The sequence below is a fragment of the Homo sapiens genome, chromosome 4, assembly GCF_000001405.40.
Source record: "Homo sapiens chromosome 4, GRCh38.p14 Primary Assembly".
Taxonomy (NCBI): Eukaryota; Metazoa; Chordata; class Mammalia; order Primates; family Hominidae; genus Homo; species Homo sapiens.
The window spans coordinates 105,947,778-105,972,325 of NC_000004.12; the positions used below are offsets into that span (position 1 = coordinate 105,947,778).

Below are 24,548 nucleotides of genomic sequence, written 5' to 3' on the forward strand. Positions count from 1 at the left end.
AAATCTGTCACAAATGATCGAGTCAAAGATATATAATAGTCAAATCTGACCCAATACTGATCACGGGGGGGTTTCTTTTAACATGTTTTGTAATCTAAATCATTTCTCTTTGTTGCAAAGTAGAGATTTATGGGCAGCTATTTAATCTCCAGATGTTTTTTCCTCAAATGGCCACATAGTGGGCAGTCAAAAATATTTGTTGAATGGAATGAAATGGAATTTTATATTGGATTTAATTTTTTTCATTCTAAGTAATCCTTCATATGCTTAACTAGCTAAATTTTACTTGTTGGTTCTGATATTCCTTCCCCAAATAATCAAAGTTAATTCAGATTATGGTTTTTTTTCTTATCCTGATACAGCTTAATATAGCCATTGAAAATATTCTCTAGAAAATTCTAAGTCTAATATACTTCTAAATTTTAAGCATGACACTGAAAAATAGTGAAAAGCATAGAAAAGGAATATGAAAATAGCATTGAAACATTTGGAATTAAGGGGTTTTAACCACTACTAAAGATAGAATATACTGAACCAGAAAACCTAGTCTTGATTTCTACCTCTATTTATGAGGTACATGACTTTGGACTAGTATGAGTATTTATGAGGTACATCACTTTGGAAGAGTTACTGTGCTTTCCACCTCAATTTTTTCATCTGTAAAATTGAGGGAATATTCCCAGCTATCCTTTCTCACTGAGTAGCTTCAAAGATCAGAGATAAGGGATCTAGTGTTTGTGAATTCTGAGTTACTATGAAATGTAAAAGATTAATGTGTTTTGTTTATCACTGTAAATAACCTTGATGGGGAGAACTTATGTGATTTAAGGTTGCAACTTTTTATGTGTGATGTGAAATATTAAACTTATTTTTAAAATAATTTTTTTGAGACAGAGTCTCACTCTGTCACCCAGGCTGCTGCAGCTTCAATCTCTCAGGCTCAAGCAATCCTCCTGCCTCAGCCTCCCAAGTAGCTGGGTGGCTATTTATTTTTATTTTTTGTGGATACAAATTCTTACTGTGTTGCCCAGGCTGGTCTCCAACTCCTGAGCTCAAGGAATCCTCCCACCTTGGCCTCCCCAAGTGCTGGGATTCTAGGCATGAACCACTGCACCCAGCCTAAAAACAATTTTAGCTTGAGGGACCCTAGGTTTTTTTAGGTTATATGACTAGAAATATAATAAGATGTATTTACAGGGCTAATCCGGTGGGCATGATTTGAGCAACACTAAAGTTATCTGATGTAGCGTAAAATTCTTGTTGTTTCATTAATGAGACAGACTTGTGCTTCTCAAAGTGTGTTTTATAGAGCATTATTTCTCTGAAATATTACACAGTTGTATGTGTTAAAAAGTTCTTAGGTCAAATACATTTAAGAACTCCTAGGTTTAGCTAAGTTAAATAGGTTTCTTAACTGTAGGACTTCTCAATACTCCAATGTGCTAACAATATTGCAAATCTCTAAGAGAGGCATGTAATGTATCTTTTCCCAAGTTGTTTTAACCATGGGATTATTTGAATCTTGGGATTAGAGTTTACTGGAATCAACTTTAGGTCAGGCTGGGCTAAACTAGGAAGTATGGAGACCATACTCCACAAAACCCAGTATCCCTCACTAGTTAGCTCTCGTTGCCTGGTTTTTGAGACTAATGGGTTGATCTTGGATTTAGGAATGAGGGTTGGGGAGGGCAGAAAGGTGCTGCACAAACTTAGCCAGAAAAGCAGCTATAAGTGGTGGTATGCCTGTATGGACACCATAGGTTTGCTGCAGGGGATTGTTAAAAAGCCACTTTTCAAAGACAAAACTCTGGTGTCACAGGGGTAGGAGCAATCCCAGGGCAAAGAAACTCAGAAAAACTTTCTGCAGAACCCAAAGTAAAGGAAGTTAGGGGGACATGCTTTCTGTTCTAGCAATATATAATGAAATCTTATATAACTATTAAACATGTTTTATGGAAAATATTTAATAATTTTGGAAAATACCCATGTTACAAAAATGTTACCTGAAAAGTACAAAGCTGTACCTGCCATTTGACTCCAATTAGATATAAAATACATGTCTGCATATGTCTGGATGTGTGTAAAAGTCTGAAAGAAAAAAGACCAAAATAGTAACCATGAGTATATCCTGTTTATGATATTTTGGGCGATTTTCATTGTCTTTTTGTTGTCTTTATCCAGTAATTTTTAAACTGTTCAACTGTACTATCGTTGATAACAGTAATTCATTATATCATTAATTCCTTCAGAGAGGGGGCAGAGTAACAGAACCCCACTCTTCTCAGCAGGAAAGTGAGGATTCTGATTCTTAATCATGTTTATTTTATTTTGGACATACTGAGTTTTAAAAATTCATTGAAGGTTTTATTAACTTCTATTTTTAACCTTTCAGATTTTCCTTTACAATTGAATGTGATAGCTATGTCCAATTTTAGCTAGGAAATTTGTATTACGAGAGGGAATATAACATCACTTGGACCAGGAAACAGATTTTTTTTCCCCAGTGTTGTCAGAAGCCCATTTTAACTAAAATAACATAGGATGTTTATTAACTAAAATAACATAGTTATTTTATGCTTATCTTAAGATGTAGATTCCTAATCCTTATGACACATTTACTAAATCAGACTTACTAGGGAAAGTATCTCTCAGTCTTTATCTTTATTTATTTATTATTTATTTATTTATTTTTTGAGACACAGGCTCACTCTTTTACCCAGACTGGAGTGCAGTGGCACAATCTTGGCTCACTGCAACCTAAGTGATTATTGTGCCTCAGTCTCCTGAGTAGCTGGGATTACAGGCGTGCACCACCACACCCAGCTAATTTTTTTTGTAATTTTAATAGAGACAGGGATTCACATCTGAGTAGGCACACTTAGTCCCCAACACTCAACCTTTTATTCAACCAGCGGTGAGCTGGATGTGAACATGACAGACCCAGTAGGGTTCCAATGCCTGACAACCTGCACCTGTCAGGAAGAGCCCCCTCCTTTCCTGCTCCCCTGCAACACATGGTTATTTTAATAGAGACAGGGTTTCACCATGTTGCCCAGGCTGGTCTTGAATTTCTGGCCTCAAGCGATCTGCCTGCCTCAGCCACCGAAAGTGCTGCGATTACAGGCGTGAGGCACTGTGCCTGGCTGTTCTCAGTCTTTAATGTGTACACAAATTACAAGGGGATCTCGTTAAATTGAAGACTGACTGAGTGTGTCTGGAGTAGGACCAGAGACTCTGCATTTCTAACAAACACAGGTAATGTTTCTGATCTGCAGTCCCCACTTTGGATAGCAGGGCTCTTTCTAAAGCATAATGGCAGCTCCAACCCAGCAGAACCATATTCTGGATGGAGTCAGAACTAGCCAAATGTAGGCTATTTAAAATATAGCAATTGTGCCTAGGCATGTGTCCACCTGACTCATGTAAAATAAAAAGAAAAGGCGTTAATAGAAGCCAGATTATAGAACATAATGTTATTAATATGTATCAGGTGCTCTTATGAGTGGCCATATCAGAGAACCAGCCTCATTGTTGCTGTTATTACGCAACATGAGACTGTGCTGCAATTCCAAGTACCAAGCAGTAAGAAGAAAATTGTTTTCTTTTACTGATTGCTGCGTGTTGTCCTGAGGTTTTTCCCCTCATCTCTCTTCTACAGATTTTACAGAGTCTGTGGCTAGTTCAGTCACATTGTTCTTAGTCATGGAAATATTATGGTCTTTCTGATTCTGTGTAGTGATAAGTAAAAAGATTGTTTCTGCTGAGGGGTGAAAAGGTCTTCAAAGTAGTTTGCTTTCTTGTAAACAGTAAGACCTGCAGAGACCCTGAGAAGATGCCTGATATCTCCTTGAAAATTAAATTTCTGCTAGTGTTTTGAAGGAGCGAATTGTCACTTCTCACAGGTTAGGATCTGCTGCTGTGAATTCTGAAAGTTTTCAAGATTTTTGATTTATATTTTAATTAGATCCTATGGTAGCTAGTAAAGAAAATATCATTCTCTCCAAAACGTATAAATGGGCCCTTGGTGATTGTGACCAAAGTCAGAAGTCAGATTTTTTTTTGAAGTTACATGCACATTTGTCAATAGAGTTATAATTTACAAGTATTGTCCTCATTGCCAGTCTGTAATTTGGGGCGTATCATTAAATTTTCCTGTGCCTTTGTTTTCTTATCTGTAAGTCAGGGATAGTAATAGTATCTACCTCATTGGGCTGTTGTGAGAATTAGGTGCAGAGGTACCTATAAAACTTTTACTGTAGTGCTTGGCATGTAGTAATAACTTAATACATATTAGCTATTACTGCTACTATTGATGTTGAATTCATTTATATAGTAATGATAACATTTCCTACTTAATTCATAAAAAGACAGCCTATGCTGTTTTCTTGTTCTGAGTTTATATGTTTCTCATGCTTTTTATTATGGTTCATTACAATTTTAATGTTATTTTTAACTAACTAGATCCTTTTGAAACAAATTGGTTTGCAAGTGTGAGCTGTTAGGTGCACAGAGAAAAATGAAAATAGAAACTTGCGATTTTATTCTAGGCTTGTTACCAAATATTTAGAATACTGTGTTTTATTTAGGTGTTTATAGTCTCATTAGACAGTTGTGATTTTAAAATAGAGACCACATCATCTCAACTTCTTTACTGTGAAAATAATGACAATAGTCTTTTCAGAGATGAATCTGTCTAGATGGGAAATTTACATGATTGATCTGATGAGTGCATCCAGCCTGGGCAGCAGAGCGAGACTCTATCTCCAAAATAAAATAAAATAAACAAAATAATCTGACAAGTAGTTTCCCCAGAAAATCTGATTTAGTAAATGTACCAAAAGGATTTAGAAATCTACATCATAAATAAACATTCTATGTTATTTTAGTTCAGACCCTATTTTAATTCAGACTTCCTATGGGATAAAAACTTCCATTCTTTCTTTAAATAGATTCTTTTGGCTTGAGTGCATTTACACCTGTCCCCAACAGCTGGTGGGCTTCTGCTCACCCTAGACGGTGTTCATGCTGCACTCAGTCCAAGCAGCCCTTATCAGAGAGTCTTCTTACCACTTGCATTCTGGTGCGAAGGACTCATTCCTGGCAGAGCCTAACCTTCATGGGAACCATTGGCTTAGAAGAGAGGAGAAGGGGAGGCCGAGGCAGGTGGATCACTAGGTCAGGAGTTCAAGACCAGCCTGGCCAACATGGTGAAACCCTGTCTCTACTAAAAATATAAAAATTAGCCAGGGGTGGTGGTGCACACCTGGAATCCCAGCTACTCGAGAGGCTGAGACAGGAGAATTGCTTGAACCCGGGAGGCAGAGATTGTAGTGAGCCAAGATCGTGCCTCTGCACTCCAGCCTGGGTGACACAGCAAGACTCTGTCTCAAAAGAAAAAAAATTATCCTGTCTCCGGGCAGTGTCTCTGAGTCTTTCTAAAACTTTATTAAAAGTTCCTACAATACATAAAGGAGAAATAGGTATGTCACAAAAATTGGGCTCATTGTTGATTAGCAATGTCTATGCTCCACCTTTCACCAGAGATTTAACTTTTTTGCCAATTTTGCTCTTTACTGTCAGCCCAAAGGTGTCTGTGGAACTTTGTAGATTCTTCCTATGGGATGAAAGCTTTGACAAACAAGGTCTTATTTCTGTGAGTCCAACAACCCTTTTCTTTTGGCTTATAATGAATAGATGGCTAAAACTTTTCTCTAACATGGTTAAAGAAATTTCAGAAACTAATTTCCAGCCCTTTTATTTGCTTTTCTCTCTGATCACTTAAAATTGTGATGCATATGTCCTGCATCTGTAGAGAGAATAGGGGGAGAGAGAGACAGGGAGAGGAGGAGAGACCATCTCATAAAACTCTTGTCATTCATCCCTACGCTCCAATCTGTGTCTCTAAAAGCCTCTAGGTTTTGCCACCAGAAACAGCCTTCAGAATATTGGAATAATTACATATGTACCATTCTCTTCAATGAACTAAACTCCTAAGCATAGAAGTAATTTAAGACAGTGTTATTTTTAATCATTTAGTCCAACAACAAATGCCAGAACTGGCCTGGGTAATGCCATAGGAACCACCTTGTTTCCTATGAAACAGGAAGAGAATTTGCAAACCTACCTTTACTAAATAATGCTTACATTTTGCTATAGTTACTCTTGGCAAGAAGTTGAGCAGTGGGAGGTGTATATGATAATATTTACATTTACTTCTCTGTGCTTACTGTTAATGTTTTCTGGGTAAAAATATGCAATTGACTATTTGGGAAACTTCATTTGTGAACACAGGTTATATATGATCACATCCCTGGGGAAAATACATATTTAGTAGAAAGTGCCTGGCCAGCATTTCTTACAAGAACTTTCCTGCTCCTTTTTGTGGCTGATTTTACCCCTGACTCCAGGGCCCAGTAGCCATTAGAAAGTACTGTGCTCCTCAGCCCAGTCCAACCATGCCTTTATCCAGCTGTCACTTGCTTCAGTACCTGTACATTCCCTTTCTTTTAGTTTATGCAGAAGGCTGTAAGAAGCAACAGGCAAGACATATCTTTTGGTGGGTAAAACATGGACCAATGGTATAAAGATTCTGGGGACATTTTCTAAAAATATATGAACATTCATGGTTGATGTTAATTTTAGTCATAATTCCCCTATGACACCCACTCTCACCTTCTTCCTGTTCATTCTCCAAGCTACTACCAGAATGGTCATTTCAGCATGCAAACCTGATCTTGGCAATCCTCTGTTAATCCTTCAGAGGCCGCCAGTTTCCACCAGGATAACGTCCAAAATATTTACAAGGCTTTAAAAGCTCCTGCACACTCTGCCTCTATCTCCAATTCCATTTGATGCCCTTCCTCCTGCACCTTCTTGCTGCCTCCCTCCCCCTGTAAGGTCTACAGCAATTCTGATGTTTCAGTCCCCTCTCTTTTCATTCTCCAGAGCCATAGCTCATAGTACTTCTTCTTATGTCATAGAGAAAGCATCACTTCTCAGAGATTTTTATGACGTGTATCCTCCCCAGCCTAGCTTAGCCAGTCCCTCACTCCCCACTCCCGTACTCACTAGCATCCTCTGCTTCTTTAAAGCACACATTACCTGGGGAAATTGTTAAAAATCTGCCTTCACTTCTAGAATGTAGATCCCATGAAGGCAAGAGTATGCCCAATGCTTTATAACAAGCTCTTAGCCCATGCTTTGTATAGCTGATGCTCAGTTTCTTGACTGACTGCATAAATGAGTGGATGGAGTAGAAGGAGGCAGGATGCATGGACAGATGGTGGAGGAATTGTATTGCTAGCACTTCTCTGATTCTTTTTTAGTTTCTAAATTTATACCATTCTAATTCTAAGAATTAATGGTTCAACTGCAGAGAATAGCAGGTATGCATTTGTTTTTATGAAATATATATATTGTGTATTTAAGTTGAATATTAGCCAAAGTATCAAGCAGGGAAAGAACAATTAGAAAAATCATGTACCAATGTCTATCCTGGTTATAGTTCATTTTTGGGCAAGGCTAGTCATTCATTTTAATTAACATTTTCTGCATTGATCAAAATAGCTCCCTTGAAATCAAAGAAAAGTGTTTGAATTTCACAAACATATTTCAATTTCATAGCCTTGCGTTCAACAAGTATCAAGCCTATTCTAAGTTCTCTTTGAGTAACCAAAATACAAATAACAGACATATAATTGCTATTTATATGTGATCTAACAGAACCCTCTTTTATTTAGATGTCTTAGGTAAGTTTTTTATTCATATTTATATTTTTTCTTTTTACAATCCTAAAAACATAGAATTACAAAAAAAGTGAACCAATACAAATGAAAAAAAAAATTTCATTTCTAATACTTAGATTACCAGTATTAGCATATTGGCATATTGGTGTATTTATCCCTCTTTAGTCCTTTTTTTTTGGTTTGTTTTTCTTGTACATGATTGTGATAATAACATAATACTGCTTGAATGATTTGTTCTGCTACTTATTTCACTTAATATTTTCACATAAACTCTAAAGTGTATCGGGGGTGGGTAGTTTTTTTTCTCTTGAAACTTCAGTGGGATGCTCTTAGTAATCCCATACTGGTATGTGTGAGGAAGGAAAATTAGTTAAATAATTTGGTATGGTTATAGAGTAGAGCACACAAAATTGTAAGAACCAATAGCTTCTGAGCACTTCTGGTCTCTAAATTCCTTGGAATGTTTCCCAGTGGATTGTAATGAAGGTATACATGATCATCTGCTGCTAAATTAAATGGTTCTTAGAAACCAAGAACCATTTAATTTAATATTAATAATTTATATTAATAAACCATCTGACATTTTACAAGTTGTTACTTGACTAATTCTTTGTGTTGCCATCTTCTAACTGTATGATCTAATCTCTTCCTTTCTCTTCAACCTCATCCCATGCCGCTTTCTTCATTTCTCAACATCCTCCAGCCATTGTGAACTCCTTTCTTTAAATTTTCCAAGCACTTTCTTTGTGCTTGCTGCCTGAAACCCTCCCTCTTCCCCAACCCCAATGCTATGCTTTTTGCTTGGAAAGTTTCATTCTTCCCCTTTCAGTTTAAACTGTGCTTCCTCAGAGAGGACCTCTTGATCTCCCTTTTTATAAAACAGGCTCCCGGTGCCAGGAAACCTTTACATCAACACTCGATTTGCCATTTGATAGTCCTTCATCTGGGAGGAAAAAAAAAGACGGAGGGGAGCTTGAAAAACTGTCATAATGTCCCTGGAATATGGTACTTTTAAGAGTTGAGCCTATTCCATTTTGGAGATGATTTATATAAGTTACAACAAAAGAAGGGGACAAAAACATGATTGTTCTATGGAGTTTTTATAACTTTCTGTCACAAGAAAGCACGCTTGTCTACAATTTTGTAATATTTCTAGTAAATAAAAGAGGCACTCCCCGTCTCAGAGCACCAAATAAGGAAAGTGTAATTGGATGTCATTGCTGTCAGTCAGCTGGGCTATAAAAGAGAGAGTGGGGTTGCCTCATCCCCTGGGTATCCACAGTCAGCTGTGTCCCTAGAGCTTCTTTTCTTTCATTGCTGCCCAGCTGGGTATATTGCAAGTATGGATTATAAGAGGGGAAGGGACTTCACTGTTTTAACGTTTGAAACAAAAAGGAAAAAACTCAGAAGTAGTAAGCTAAAAACAACTTGTGCAAACGTTCTGGGATTATTACTTAATTTTAAGAATTTTTGCTAAAAACAATAGGAACATCGTTGAAAAAAGAACCCCTTTGAGTGATGACTGTTTCATAGTGTTCTACATCTCCTACTCCCTGCCTTATAAAAATAAAGCTAATTAATTGAAGTTCTGGCAAAGAGAAGGGAGTATTCCTTGGCCTTTGACCAAGAATTCCCCTCACCACCATGAACATTCCCACGCATTTCCCCACCAGTTACTCTCCATGATGTCTTCCTTCCTAACTCTTACCAAAATCTCAAATTACAGCACTCGTTTATCTCCATATTTAAAGTCTGCTTCTCCCATTAGAATTCAAGCCATGTAAGATCCAGACCCTCAGTCTTGTCTACCCCGTTCACCCTGTCTCCTTAGTGCCCGCCACAGTGGTCGGCATCTGCTTGGCCATCAAATATACACTGATTGAATAAATAAATCAATGATTTAAAGAAATCAATTATTTTTTTAAAGTAGATTCTTATGCTTTGTCCCACTTGTGTCCTTTGAGGAAAAGTGTGAAATACTACCTGGGGTTCTAACAGGATCTTTGCATTCACTTAGTAAACACTTATTGAGTGCCTGTCACCAGGTCAAGCCCTGGAAATGCCACCCAAATAAGACATGATTGATGCCCTCCAGGACCTCAGAGACTAGCAGAGGGACAGACACATGTGTGTAAATAGCTGCAATTCTTTATGAAAGTGTGTAATAGGGGCTTATAAGCATGAACTCTTGAGGTACAAGAGGGAAGAATTTGATTCTGCCTGGGGCAGAATCACTCCACAGAGGCCGTGATATTTATGCTGGGCCTTGAAGGAAGAAGAGATTTTTGGCAGGTTAATTAGCAGGAAAGAGAGCATTGGGTCTGAGACGTGAAAATGAATGGCATGTTTGGACAGCATTGTGTATTTTGGTGGGGTAGATTGTAAACTCTGGCCCAAGAAGTTTGAGTTTGATCTTAAAGGAGCCAGGGAAACTGTTTAAGCAAGGGAGGCCATGGTAGGAAATGTATATTAGAGTGCAACAATGTGCGGAGTTCACTGGGGGTGGGGAGTACATGCTGTGATTAGAAACCAAACCATTCGCTTCCATCATAGGTATTTTCAGTTAAAACAACCTTGATTTAAAGATCATAATAATGTATCTTTCGTAGAGATGAACTTTAGAATTTCATAGAGATGAATAGTTGGCTAGAAATTGGTTGCTCTATTAAAATGTATTTTCCAGATAAAGACTTTTTAAGTTATTTTTGTTGAATTTTAGAAACTTTTGAAAATCATTTTTAAAAAATGTACCCAGATCAAGGTTGCAGTATAAATCACTGCAGAACAAAATTCGTGAATCTTCATGTGATATATAATTAAATATTTTGGATTCATCCAGATGAATAAAATGACTAGGCCTTTTCCTCCTGCCCTTGTTAAAGGTAATGCCTCTTTATCAATACTTCACACACACACACACACAAAAACTCAAAACCTTTCTCTTGCAGTTCCACGGCAACCTTCAAATGACTTGTTTGAAATATTTGAAATAGAAAGAGGAGTCAGTGCAGACGATGAAGCAAAGGATGATCCAGGTGACACTTACACTCTTAGTGCCATCATAATGACATTTTATTGTTTCTCTCCATGAAAATAACTTTTAAATGTAGATCGTTTGGACCATTTGGGAAAATTACACCTGTTTTCTTTAACAACTCAGATTTTCTTTGTAGTTAAATCAGTTGAGCAAAAATAATTATGAATCATTTTCTTTTTTAAAAAAATTTTAAAGTAGTACTTAAACTGTAAAAAGGAAATCATATTTTATAAGTGATGATGTAACATTGTTATAATTTGGCAACACTTGTGTGTTCTATTTTTACAGATGATGCACTATTGTGCTGAGAAAAGATTAATGTAATTTCCCTTTGGTCTTATGGAAAGAAGCTCTGGTTATATGGATAGGAGAGAACACTTGTTGTCTAGATACCCCTAGTTCATAGATTCATTTGTTGTTTTTTGTTGATTTTCTGATCCACTCATCTTTCTGATTATTTCCTTGTAGGTGTTCTGGTACACAGTTGTAATTTTGACCATGGACTTTGTGGATGGATCAGGGAGAAAGACAATGACTTGCACTGGGAACCAATCAGGGACCCAGCAGGTAAAACCATTTCATTTAACTTTTTCTGGTACACATTTCAATGTGATACTATCTGAAGACTCCACTGCTGCTAATCAAGTCTACTGTAACACATCTCTGTGTTTACTTGATAAAGATGGTCAAAAAGGACCATGCCTAGCATTTATATTTCATTTCTTTGAAAGAGTTAAATTTGTTAGCTATCAACTAGCACTATATTATGGGAGACAAGTAGTTAATTAAAAGGTCAACTAATTTCTCTCAAAAAGCTTGATAAATAAAATATTTAGATTAATTCTTGCAAATAATTCTTAAGTTATTTGTAGCACCCATTCCCAGGAATAAAAGAAGTAATATAGTGGTATATCAGCCATGGTAATAGGCATTCCCCAGTTGTTTTTTCTTTGTTTTTCTTTTCTTTTTTTTTTTTTTTTAAGATTTGAGTGGTAGTAGAAGAACACAGTGGAAATTTCTATAAAGTTGTGATTATCCTCTGAAAAAATTTCACTCTAACTTGGGTGCTGAAGGAAATGGTTACGAATCACCACCACTCATTTTATAACAAAAGGTAGATTTAGACATAGTTCCTTGGAACTCAAAGGAGTTTTAAATTGCACAATTCCTATTAATCTAAAGTTTTAGTACTCATAAGACATCTTTTCTTCTAGATTCAAGATAGCTTTTCTCCCCTCAGTAGTTAAATCTTTTTTTTTTTTTTTTTTGAGATGGAGTCTTGCTCTGTTGCCCAGGCTAGAGTGCAGTGGCGCGATCTCGGCTCACTGCAACCTCTGCCTCCTGGGTTCAATGAATTCTCCTGCCTCAGCCTCCCAAGTAGCTGGGACTACAGGCATGTGCCACCATGCCCGGCTAATTTTTTGTAATTTTTAGTAGAGACTAGGTTTCACCCTGTTAGCCAGGATGGTCTCGATCTCCTGACCTCGTGATCTGCCCGCCTTGGCCTCCCAAAGTGCTGGGATTACAGGCGTGAGCCACCGCGCCCAGCCAGAAGTTAAATCTTTTATGGATAAGGCCTACTTAATGGAAGGGTGAGGAGTTTGGTTTCATTTTTTTTCCTTTTTATACTCCTGATTCTAGATTTTAAGAAGATACAGAATGTGAAGGAAAAGCTTGTTATTTCATTTATTTTAAAAGCCTAGTTCTTGAATACCATACTGGATAAGAGCACCAAACACAGAAAAGTTAACTTGAGAGAGCTCATGATATCTTAAACCAGCTCTTCTCAAACTTCACTGTGATTGCAGAGCAGCTGAGGGCCTCATTAAAATACAGATTTTCATGCATTTCTAGCAGGCTCCCTGAAGATCTCTATGGTGGTCCTCAACGCACATTTTGAGTAACAAGGTATTAAAAAATTAGTCCAAAAATATATTCATTACATCCCCTAAGGTTGAAATAGAGATTTACTTAAAAATTAAAATGTGAATTAAATTCCTTAAAATAGGAATATTCAATAAATTCAAATTGGTTCATACATTTCTTTTCATTGTAAAAGACAATATCATTTAGTGCCTCACACACAGTACTCTCAGTCATTCTTGCATTACTGTCTTACTCATTTAAAGTTAACTCTGAGCAGGACAGCATTATCATTAATGTCACAGATTCTGTGAATAAGAGAGAAACCAACATATCTACGTGTGTGTGTGTGTGTGTGTGTATACAATATAAAATACCTATGACAGTCCTAGCTTATTTAAAATCTCATCAATTTTATTTAATTGTAGCAATTAAAATAAATTTATTTCATTGCTACAGAGTTGTAGCAATTTACACTCCTACCAACAGTATTTGAAAACCATCCCCAACAGATATTATAAAAGTATTTTTTTAAATCTCTACCAATCTTATAGGTGAAAAGGAATCTCTTTTAATTTTACTTTGCATTTCTTCTATTGTGAAAAGTTGATCATGTTTTATCATTCACTCGAGGAGCAAATAATATTGTCTTTATTTCACAAAGGAAATATTGACACCCAGAGAAGTTACCTGTTTCCTAAGGCCACAGAGCTAGAGAGTGGTGGAATTAAGTCCAAACCACTCTGTACTACTCATGCAGGCTCCTAGACAGTCCAATACTCAGAACATCTGCAGCATTATTGTGTTTTTGACTGTACCACAGGCTGGCCTCAGTAGGTGTGCATGTGGTAGTGTGCATGATCTGATTAGCAGATCACAGACCTGTAGATTAGACTGACTGACCACTGACCTGGAGTAGTTTGCTACAGAAGGAGGGATCTTTGGCAGTCATGTATGACAGAATGGTGAATAATATTTATGGTCATAATGAATGATTCCTTCAAGTAAGTTACACTGGGGAGAGTAATTCATGCTAAACTCAGGAGAATTCACTGCACTTCTATGTAAACAATCTATGTAAAATACTTGAGTTTTAGAATTTAAATACTGTATTTTAGAACCAATTTAGTCCTTTTCAACATTTTTTTATTATTCATTATATTTGTAAATGTTTAAATTTGTTGTGACCCAAATCTCCCTTTCTCTCTGATGGAAAAATGAGAAGAGGGTTAGAAATTAGAATGGTAGACAAAGAAATTTGAAATCGTTATTGGACCGTGTTAGTACAGAGCAAATTGAAAGGAAGAGATGCCTGCTTGAGTGATTGGATAACTCGTGATGATTGGCTACGGTCCCTGGAGGATGCTTTTCTAGAATTGGTCCAAGTTTTTACCAAGAACTTAGATAAATAGGACATTGAACTTAATATTGAAGATAAACTGACCAAACTACGGTTGACTCAAATCTGGAGAGGAAAGTGACTATGTGTGCTGATACAACCAGCATTCGAAAAATTAGATTAATGGGTCACAATTAAGAAGGTGAAATGTAATGGGGTTGAGTCGAAGTTATGGCTCATAGTCGAGAAACCAGTCACACATCTGAGTGAGGGGGAAGACCTGACATATCACTAAGGGTAGAAGACTTTAGAGTTTTAGTGTGTAATGAAATCAATCTAAGCGAACCTTGTGATGTTGCTGCCAGAAATATGGACCATCTCTATAGAAATATGCTATGTTTCAAGAATGAAAATCCACTTTGGTTAAGTGGTGAATCCACTTTTGAGAATTCTTTTTTTCTAATATGAGAAGAATAGAGTTGGTCACTTAGAAGAGGATGACCTGCATGGAAAGGTATCTCCAAGCTTGTGAAAAACAGGCAAAGGAACCATAACGTTTAGCCTGGAGAAGAAATGATGCATCAGGGTTCCTTTTCAAATAATTGACTAGGGTTAGAGTTGTTCTCTGTGACCGAAAGGGGATGAGAATAGGATTGATGGGTAAAAAATACAGGGAGATTCATTTTGGCTCACTGTCATCTAAAAAGAGAACAGGCTGACATGGAAAGAGTGAGTTATCTTGGTGGAAGCATTTGACTGGGTGACATATGGCAAGATACTGTTAAAAGGTTTTGAGCATCAGATGAAAGTTGGATTAGAAAACCTCTAAACCAGCTCTGAGAGCCTGATTCAGAATGGAATGTGGAAATAGTCCCAAGAAATTCAGTGAGCAGGATTCTAGCTTGGAAAGAAGGATGGGAAGACCAAAAGATGGCAGAGAGTTGGAAGGCAGGATATGTGAGGATGGAATTGCAGAATATATTTTTAGAATATGTTGAGAGAATTATAACCCAGCACTGATGGGAAAATACTAATAAAGCTTACCTTTTCATGGTTTTTTATTCTAGGAAATTCAGGTGGATGGAGTGTATGTGTGTGTGTGTGTGTGTATGTGTGTGTGTGTATGTATGTGTATGTGTGTGTGTATCACATGTGAAGGCCAGAGAAGAATATAAAAAATCGGCTAGACACAGTGGCTCACCCCTGTAATCCCAGCACTTTGGGAGGCTGAGGTGGGTGGATCACCTGAGGTCAGGAGTTCAAGACCAGCCTGGCCAACATAGTGAAACCCCGTCTTTACTAAAAATACAAAAATTAGCCAGGCGTGGTGGCAGGCACCTGTAGTCCCAGCTACTCAGTAGGCTGAGGCAGGAGAATCGCTTGAGCCTGGGAGGCAGAGCTTGCAGTGAGCCGAGATCACGCCACTGTACTCCAGCCTAGGTGACAAAGCAAGACTCCGTCAAAAAAAAATAATAAATAATAATTTCTGTGTATTATTCTAATTACCAAGCTAATTATTTACCTATTTCTATCTAGATTATACCACTTATAAAAGAATATGTGTTTGGATATCCAATTATGGATGATTTTAATGATGTGCAGTTCTAATCCAAGATCCAGATTTGTAAATATTCTTATATGCTAATATTTCTAAGAAAACTCTCAAAACTCAAAACCTTAAGAAATAGCTGCAAAATAAGTGCATTTGCTAGCTGCCTTTCATGGTGCTATTAGGTTTTATCACATTCAGTCACAGTGAGATGTGAAATTAACAATGCCTCTAAGAAATGGAAAATTGTGCTGCTGACAGACATGGTGATGCGCTGCAGGTATGTAGCTGTGGCCCTGGGGACACACCCTTCTCCTGTGTGTGTCAAAGCTAGAACTAAGGCCCTTTTCCTGGAACCTTGATCTCTGGAGAACAAGGATTAAGGGCAACTGACTCAGCACTCTGTCTGCCACTGATAGCTACAAGGAATTTGCTTACATATGTATCAAGTATGCCAGCATGTACATACAAGTATGTCTATTTCAGCATTAAAACATTATTTTAAAATACACATAAATGTAAAATAAATCAACAATATAAGTGAAAGCTTTCTACCATCCCTGACTCCCATTCACCACCCAGCAAGATGCAGCCAGTTTCTTGATTATGTTCTCAGAGAGATATTTTTGGATACAATGGCATTCTCTTCTGTGCCTTGCCTTTGTCACTTATCGATACTACCTTAAGAGTTAACAGGAAGAACATGGACTTTGAAGCCAGAATACCTGGTCTGGAACCCAGCACCACCACATACTAGCTTTGACCTTGAGCAAGTTACTTAAATGGGGATAATAAGTACTATCCACTAAACATATGTAAGGCATTTCAAGCAGTGCCTCGCCCAGAGTTACCACTAAAATAGTATTAGCCATTGTGGCTGAAGCATGTCCCCTGTCAGTACATACAGAACACCCTCATTCTTATTTATGGCTGGCTGCTATTCCATTACTCATCAGATGTACCACAATGTATTTAGCCAGCCCTCCACAGAGGAACATAAGTTGTTTCAAGACTTTAGGTAGTTCAGACAGTAGTGCAGTGAATAACCCTATACATTCATTATTTAATATATGTTAGACTATATCCATAGAATAAATTCCTAAATGTGGAATTGCTATGTCAAAAGAGAATTTGTATTTTGAATTTTGATAGATTTTATTAAATTGCCCTTTATAAAGGTTGTAGCAATTTACACTTCTTCCTACAATATTTGAAAACCATTCCCAATATATTATAAAAGTATTTTCAAAATCTTTGCCAATCTTATAGGTTAAAAGGAATCTCTTTTAATTTTACTTTGCATTTCTTTTATTGTGAAAAGTTGATCACATTTTCATATATTTGTCATTTTTTCTCTGATGTTCTTTATTTTTCTTTAGTATTTTTATTGATTTATGGAAGTTTTCTATACAAAAAGAAAAATTATCCTTTTTTAATTTGTTGCAAATATTTAAAAACATTTTTGTTTGTCTATTTTATGGTATTTTTATCTTAACATGCAAATTTGGAAACTTAAATGTTCTTCAGTAAGAAATTGGCTAAATGGTTATTGGCATACTTGCAGCAATGCAAAGTGTATTTGCTACCATAGAAAAATGGTTATACAAGAAGCAACTTACAACACTGCAAATATAGTATTCCTTTTTTTAAAAAAAGTTCATATTCATGTGCATTTATGTGAATGTATTACATAAGAAAAGTTCAGAAGTCAAAACCTTCACAAATACCTCTAGATTTTGTGAATTGAAAATTTAAAGGCACCAACCACTACAGAATTAAAAATAAATAAACTAACATTTTATAACCCAACTTTCTGGTCAAGTTTTGCAGCATCTATTATTTACCCTCCCTCCCCAAAATTCTTGAGATATTGTGATACTGTAAACTGAATGAATGTTTAATATAATTGTACATTTATCACCAGAATTATGAAATCAGAAGTGAAAATTTTAATAGGTAACTTGCTTGACACTGAATCAATTTTTCCCTTAGTTAATGTTCCAACTTGTATCATTTCCTTTATTACAAAGGGAACGAATTCTTCATGGCCAAAAAAAAAAAAAAAAACGGCAAAAGCAAAACCTGGTGCGCACAGAGTAGCTCTACAGAGGAAGAACAATCATAACCTCATTTATCATGTTGTAAATTTTAGAGTTTTAAATGCATATGCAAAGAATACCTTGGTGTGTTAGGTTGTCTTGTTTGCAGGTAGCGTCTGGCAGAATGGTATCAGTGTACATTCCACAGGGACTTAATCCTTGTTTTCTCGAAACTTGCAGGTTAACTGTAATAACCTTATATCTTAGTCTTAACCAGAGTACCTGTGATGATTCAAAAGCTGACTTATAGTGAGACATGTAAATATTTTGGCCCAAAATATTGTTTGGATTAGTTTGTGGAGGAAGGGGACAAGGGAAGTGGGAGAAAGATTCTTAAGACATTATGTATTTTTAGTGATTCAAGTACGTGAATCAAGGATCTATTTCCCTGCAGTTTTTTGCTGTATCCTTGGAACATCATTCGTTGATTCAAACATCCTTAAACACCTGCTGCCTGCTAGCAGGGTAACACAGAGGTTTGGGGGAAACTTTGGTTCAGACTTTTAAGTTGTTCACAACCTGCTGGGGAGCCCTTAGCACAGAGGCTGGCACACAGTAAGTGCACAGAAATCACCTGTGACCTATAGAGCTCCGACGGGACTTGTTAGAGAAGACACTGGAATAAAAAGTTAATACCAAATTTTATCATGTCCTGTATAAATTAAGCATAAGAAAGAGATGATAGTTTATATCTGTTAACTGAAAACTAAATGGGATTACTACCAAAATAGATACACATGTTCAACATTCCAACCATTTTTCTATGGAAAAACCAGTGTTGAAACATACAGTGTGTTTTCAGTTGACTGAGATAAAATAGCCTGAGGGAATGTCATTTGTACATGGATCAAGTTTCAAAATACTACTTGCAACTTTCTCTCTCTTGAGAAGCAGCACCCCCCACTTCACTGCTGCTTAACCATTTTTTTTCTAATGCAGTTTCCTTAACAACAGAGGGAAGAAAACTCTGTAGCCCTAGGGATCTGAGAACATCATCAAAGTGGTCTATCTAAAGTGAAAGTTTTTATTAATATTTGTGTTCATGTATATATAATAGGACATATTTATAGAATAGATATGATATAGATTTGTTTTACTATAAAAATGTTTTAAATGGCTTACCTCCAAATAAAATTGAAGCTCCAGGAAGACGGGGAGGGTTTCCTGAATACCTCTGTATCTTCCTGGTGTTAGATTTACACCAGTGTGAGAAGCTCTGCCAACTCTGATTTTTTTTTTAAAGAACCTTTACGTTTAGAGATTTTTTTTTTTTAAGTTGGGGGAGGAGAGAATAAGCAGATATAGGGCCCTTTAAATCACCATCTGCTTTACTGTTCAGAGGTTAATTATCCACCAGAAAATTCTCCCTAGAAATTTAGGGTCAGTTTTACCAAACCACCAAGCCAGATCGCCAGGGGTGTTGGACAACGTTATCATAAACTGGTGAGGGTCACAAGGTGGTGAATGTGTATATGTTGTTGTATGCCTATATGTCTGATCATATTCCACTGGAAATATTCATAGTGTTTGGTTACTAATTATTGTGTGTCTCTGGCATTACTTGTACTTTCCATGAGCAAAGTAAGTGAATGTTTTCTGTAAACACATACCATAGAACTTAAGACAGGCATACAAATAAGTCATATTTTTCTTCTTCAAAAATCTGGAATTCTTTACAAAGAAAAGAAAAAAAAAAAAAAACTAAAACTCCTGTCCATGCTGCTTGTTCTAGAAAGGGATATTGGCACATACACACAGCCCTGCTTTTCCCATTCCAGGTGGACAATATCTGACAGTGTCGGCAGCCAAAGCCCCAGGGGGAAAAGCTGCACGCTTGGTGCTACCTCTCGGCCGCCTCATGCATTCAGGGGACCTGTGCCTGTCATTCAGGCACAAGGTGACGGGGCTGCACTCTGGCACACTCCAGGTGTTTGTGAGAAAACACGGTGCCCACGGAGCAGCCCTGTGGGGAAGAAATGGTGGCCATGGCTGGAGGCAAACACAGATCACCTTGCGAGGGGCTGACATCAAGAGCGTAAGTAGATCCACAAAGGAGGCAGGACCTGGGACGTTTTCCTTTCATAGGAGAACTCTGGGATCTGAATTTGAAGAAGCCTTGCTGTGTGAATTCAGGCTCAGATAAAGGTTTGGGTTTTTTTCTGGGCCTGATGACTCCATTCAGTGTCTCTTTCTGAAACCACTTTCTGCTTCTTCATCCTTCTTCATTGCAACCTGTGATCACCACCTCTCCCTAACCCTGGTAAAGATCCATTTTTTTTTAATGGAAAAAAAAATCTAGGAATAGAAAAGTTTTTTTGGTTTTTTTTAAAGTTGATCAACAGAAACTTCCAAGGGTGGGGTGGTGAGCTTAATTGTTCCTGCTTTCCCTTTCCTTTTAATTCCTTAGATTTCAAACTTTTACTACCATAAATTACCCAGGAGATGGTTCTTTTTTCTTTTTTGAAATGTTTCTTTCAAGTTCAAATTTTTTTCTTTGTTTCAGAGATCACAGTTAAGCAGCGTAGGGTGGGAACTCAGAACTACAATTGGAAAGCACTATTCTATTCAGGACAGGATGTGGGAAGTGCTTTGATGGAATATATAAATTTGATCTTAAGTAATCAAGACATAGGTAGCAAAAAAATGGTCTAGGGCATCCCAACAAAATTATGAATGCATTTGGGAAAATGTCATCATTTTGCTGGTGCTTATGAAACTTGCTGTTGGGAGATACCTATGCCTGTATGTAGGTATAGTTTATAAGAAACCATTTTAGAAAGAAAAGATAGATTCCATTAATACAGTTTTTATCAGAGTACTTGGATTTTGTTTAATTCTTACATATTTTTTCTTAAAACTTTTCTCAGTATTTTTATTGTTTAGAGAAATAAAACAAGATAATCATTTTAAATCATAGCACTTAGGTTTTCTCTTGTTTTATAAGGAGCAAGGATGCTCTATAGAAAATATAATGTAAGAATAATAAAAGTTTTTGGTTTTTACATAGGTAAAGCAACAGTGTGATTGGATTATGGTGTTTGATTCTATTCCATTTTCAGCAAGAAAGCGATGTTAACCACAAAGGAACTAAGAAACATTTAAGATAGGCTGTGTGATTATGATCTTTCAGATCTTTGGCTCCTAATATCTGTTCCTTTATATTCTATCACACTCTTCTAACTTTGGTAATCCTTGACAAAAGTGTGCACTTTATAAACAATCCTAAATCGAATTGGTCTATAGCTTAGAATGGCTTTTTAAAGAATAATTGATTCTGAGTAATGTGGTCTGATGAACAGTTTGATGACTTCAGTTTCTACTGAAAGAGAAGCTTCAGTGATACTGGCAACTATATTCTGTTTTTTTCCTCCTGCAAAATAAGTTTAAAATTGGTTTGGGGGAAGGTTTGCCTTTATTTTTGCTTAATAAGGAGGCATTAGAAAGGGGCAGAGGAGGCTTGACTGGTGTGTGCATTCTCTCCCTAGGTCGTCTTCAAAGGTGAAAAAAGGCGTGGTCACACTGGGGAGATTGGATTAGATGATGTGAGCTTGAAAAAAGGCCACTGCTCTGAAGAACGCTAACAACTCCAGAACTAACAATGAACTCCTATGTTGCTCTATCCTCTTTTTCCAATTCTCATCTTCTCTCCTCTTCTCCCTTTTATCAGGCCTAGGAGAAGAGTGGGTCAGTGGGTCAGAAGGAAGTCTATTTGGTGACCCAGGTTTTTCTGGCCTGCTTTTGTGCAATCCCAATGAACAGTGATACCCTCCTTGAAATACAGGGGCATCGCAGACACATCAAAGCCATCTGTGGGTGTTGCCTTCCATCCTGTGTCTCTTTCAGGAAGGCATTCAGCATGCGTGAGCCATACCATCCTCCATCCTGATTACAAGGTGCTCCTTGTAGCAAATTATGAGAGTGAGTTACGGGAGCAGTTTTTAAAAGAAATCTTTGCAGATGGCTATGATGTTATGTGTTCGGTGTTGTACCATGAGTAGTATTGACTTCCCTTGAGATATGATGTACAATGTGCTTGTGAAATTGACTTACCCTCTTCACTTAAGTTAGTTCTGGCCTGACCTGAACTCTGACTTTTACTGCCATTCACTTTATAAAATAAGGGTGTGTAACATATCAAGATACATTTATTTTTATCTGTTTTTTTTTTCCTGTTAAAGACAATTATGTAGAGTGGGCACGTAATCCCTCCTTAGTAGTATTGTGTTTTGTGTAAATGTGCTATTGATATTAAGTATTTACATGTTCCAAATATTTACAGACTCTAGTTGCAAGGTAAAGGGCAGCTTGTGATCTCAAAAAAATACATGGTGAAATGTCATCCAGTTCCATGACCTTATATTGGCAGCAGTAGGAAATTGGCAGAAGTGTTGGGTTGTGGTAACGGAGTGATGAATTTTTTTTTAATGGCCTTGAGTTTGATCTCTGCAAAGGATAGGAAACCTTTAGGAAGACAAGAAACTGCAGTTAATTTAGAACTGTCACTGTTTCAAGTTACACTTTAAAACCACAGCTTTTACCATCATAACATGGCTCTGGTAATATGTAGGAAGCTTTATAAAAGTTTTGGTTGATTCAGAAAAAGGATCCTGTTGCAGAGTGAGAGGAAGCATAGGGGGAAACTCCATTGGAACAGATTTTCACACAACGTTTTAAATTGATATAAGTTTAGGCAGTTGTAGTTCATAACTTATGTTGCTCATGTTGTGCTGTGTCAGGATGGGATAGGAAGCAAGTCCCATGCTTAGAGGCATGGGATGTGTTGGAACGGGATTTACACACACTGGAGGAGCAGGGCAAGTTGGAATTCTAAGATCCATGAACCCCCAACTGTATTTCCTCCCTGCATATTTTACCAATATATTAAAAAACAATGTAACTTTTAAAAGGCATCATTCCTGAGGTTTGTCTTAATTTCTGATTAAGTAATCAGAATATTTTCTGCTATTTTTGCCAGGAATCACAAAGATGATTAAAGGGTTGGAAAAAAAGATCTATGATGGAAAATTAAAGGAACTGGGATTATTGAGCCTGGAGAAGAGAAGACTGAGGGGCAAACCATTGATGGTTTTCAAGTATATGAAGGGTTGGCACAGAGAGGGTGGCGACCAGCTGTTCTCCATATGCACTAAGAATAGAACAAGAGGAAACTGGCTTAGACTAGAGTATAAGGGAGCATTTCTTGGCAGGGGCCATTGTTAGAATACTTCATAAAAAAAGAAGTGTGAAAATCTCAGTATCTCTCTCTCTTTCTAAAAAATTAGATAAAAATTTGTCTATTTAAGATGGTTAAAGATGTTCTTACCCAAGGAAAAGTAACAAATTATAGAATTTCCCAAAAGATGTTTTGATCCTACTAGTAGTATGCAGTGAAAATCTTTAGAACTAAATAATTTGGACAAGGCTTAATTTAGGCATTTCCCTCTTGACCTCCTAATGGAGAGGGATTGAAAGGGGAAGAGCCCACCAAATGCTGAGCTCACTGAAATATCTCTCCCTTATGGCAATCCTAGCAGTATTAAAGAAAAAAGGAAACTATTTATTCCAAATGAGAGTATGATGGACAGATATTTTAGTATCTCAGTAATGTCCTAGTGTGGCGGTGGTTTTCAATGTTTCTTCATGTTAAAGGTATAAGCCTTTCATTTGTTCAATGGATGATGTTTCAGATTTTTTTTTTTTTAAGAGATCCTTCAAGGAACACAGTTCAGAGAGATTTTCATCGGGTGCATTCTCTCTGCTTCGTGTGTGACAAGTTATCTTGGCTGCTGAGAAAGAGTGCCCTGCCCCACACCGGCAGACCTTTCCTTCACCTCATCAGTATGATTCAGTTTCTCTTATCAATTGGACTCTCCCAGGTTCCACAGAACAGTAATATTTTTTGAACAATAGGTACAATAGAAGGTCTTCTGTCATTTAACCTGGTAAAGGCAGGGCTGGAGGGGGAAAATAAATCATTAAGCCTTTGAGTAACGGCAGAATATATGGCTGTAGATCCATTTTTAATGGTTCATTTCCTTTATGGTCATATAACTGCACAGCTGAAGATGAAAGGGGAAAATAAATGAAAATTTTACTTTTCGATGCCAATGATACATTGCACTAAACTGATGGAAGAAGTTATCCAAAGTACTGTATAACATCTTGTTTATTATTTAATGTTTTCTAAAATAAAAAATGTTAGTGGTTTTCCAAATGGCCTAATAAAAACAATTATTTGTAAATAAAAACACTGTTAGTAATACCAGTTGTCTATTCTTGTTTTTTGAGTTTTGTTTTTTTTTGACTTGGAAAAAAGCATTGAGGTAGTTAAATGATGTTTCACAAAAGTCATAGTAGAATCCCTTTTACTGTTTGGATGGTGGGAACAAAGATGTTGCCTGCAGTATTATACTTTCTAGGTTATAAAACATGAGACACTTTATTTTTTTTATCAGCATGAACAGGGAAAGAGATCAGAAGATCACTATAACCCATGCCATGCCTTAGTAAATTGCTTTAGTTATGTTTTATTATCATTTCATTGTAAACATTTGCTTTAAATTCTTTTTTTTTTGTTGTTCTTTTTTTTGAGACAAGGTCTCTCTCTGTCTCGCATGTTGCAGTGCAGTGGTGCAATCATAGCTCACTGCAGCCTCAAACTCCTGGGCTCAAGCAATCCTCTGGTCTCAGCCTCCCAAGTAGCTGGGACTACAGGCACATGCCACTACTAGACCTGGCTAATTTTTTATATTTAAATTTTTTTTTTGTAGAGACAGGGTCTTGTTATGTTGCTCAGGCTGGTCTTCAACTCCTAGCTTCAAGCTATCCTCCCACCTCACCTTCCCAAAGTGCTTGGGATTACAGGTGTGCGCTACTGTGCCCAGCTGCTTTCAATTCTATTATGGAAAGGCAGATT

General features: G+C 37.0%; 1 protein-coding gene across 18 annotated transcripts in view; it reads left to right on the plus strand.

Moving 5' to 3' along the window:
- NPNT (nephronectin) overlaps window positions 1-23,894 on the plus strand; it is a 76,201-nt gene extending 52,307 nt beyond the window's left edge. For 9 of the 18 annotated variants that reach the window (XM_011531820.3, XM_011531824.3, XM_011531822.3 and 6 more), the window contains 4 exons: window positions 10,694-10,780; window positions 11,251-11,349; window positions 19,411-19,667; window positions 21,118-23,894. In XM_011531820.3, coding sequence (XP_011530122.1) covers window positions 10,694-10,780; window positions 11,251-11,349; window positions 19,411-19,667; window positions 21,118-21,213 — 539 coding nt within the window. In that variant the 3' untranslated portion in view covers window positions 21,214-23,894. The remainder of the gene's footprint in view (window positions 1-10,693; window positions 10,781-11,250; window positions 11,350-19,410; window positions 19,668-21,117) is intronic. The other 9 variants (XM_011531823.3, XM_047449983.1, XM_047449984.1 and 6 more) reach the window with 3 other exon arrangements.
- Window positions 23,895-24,548: the final 654 nt, after the last annotated feature.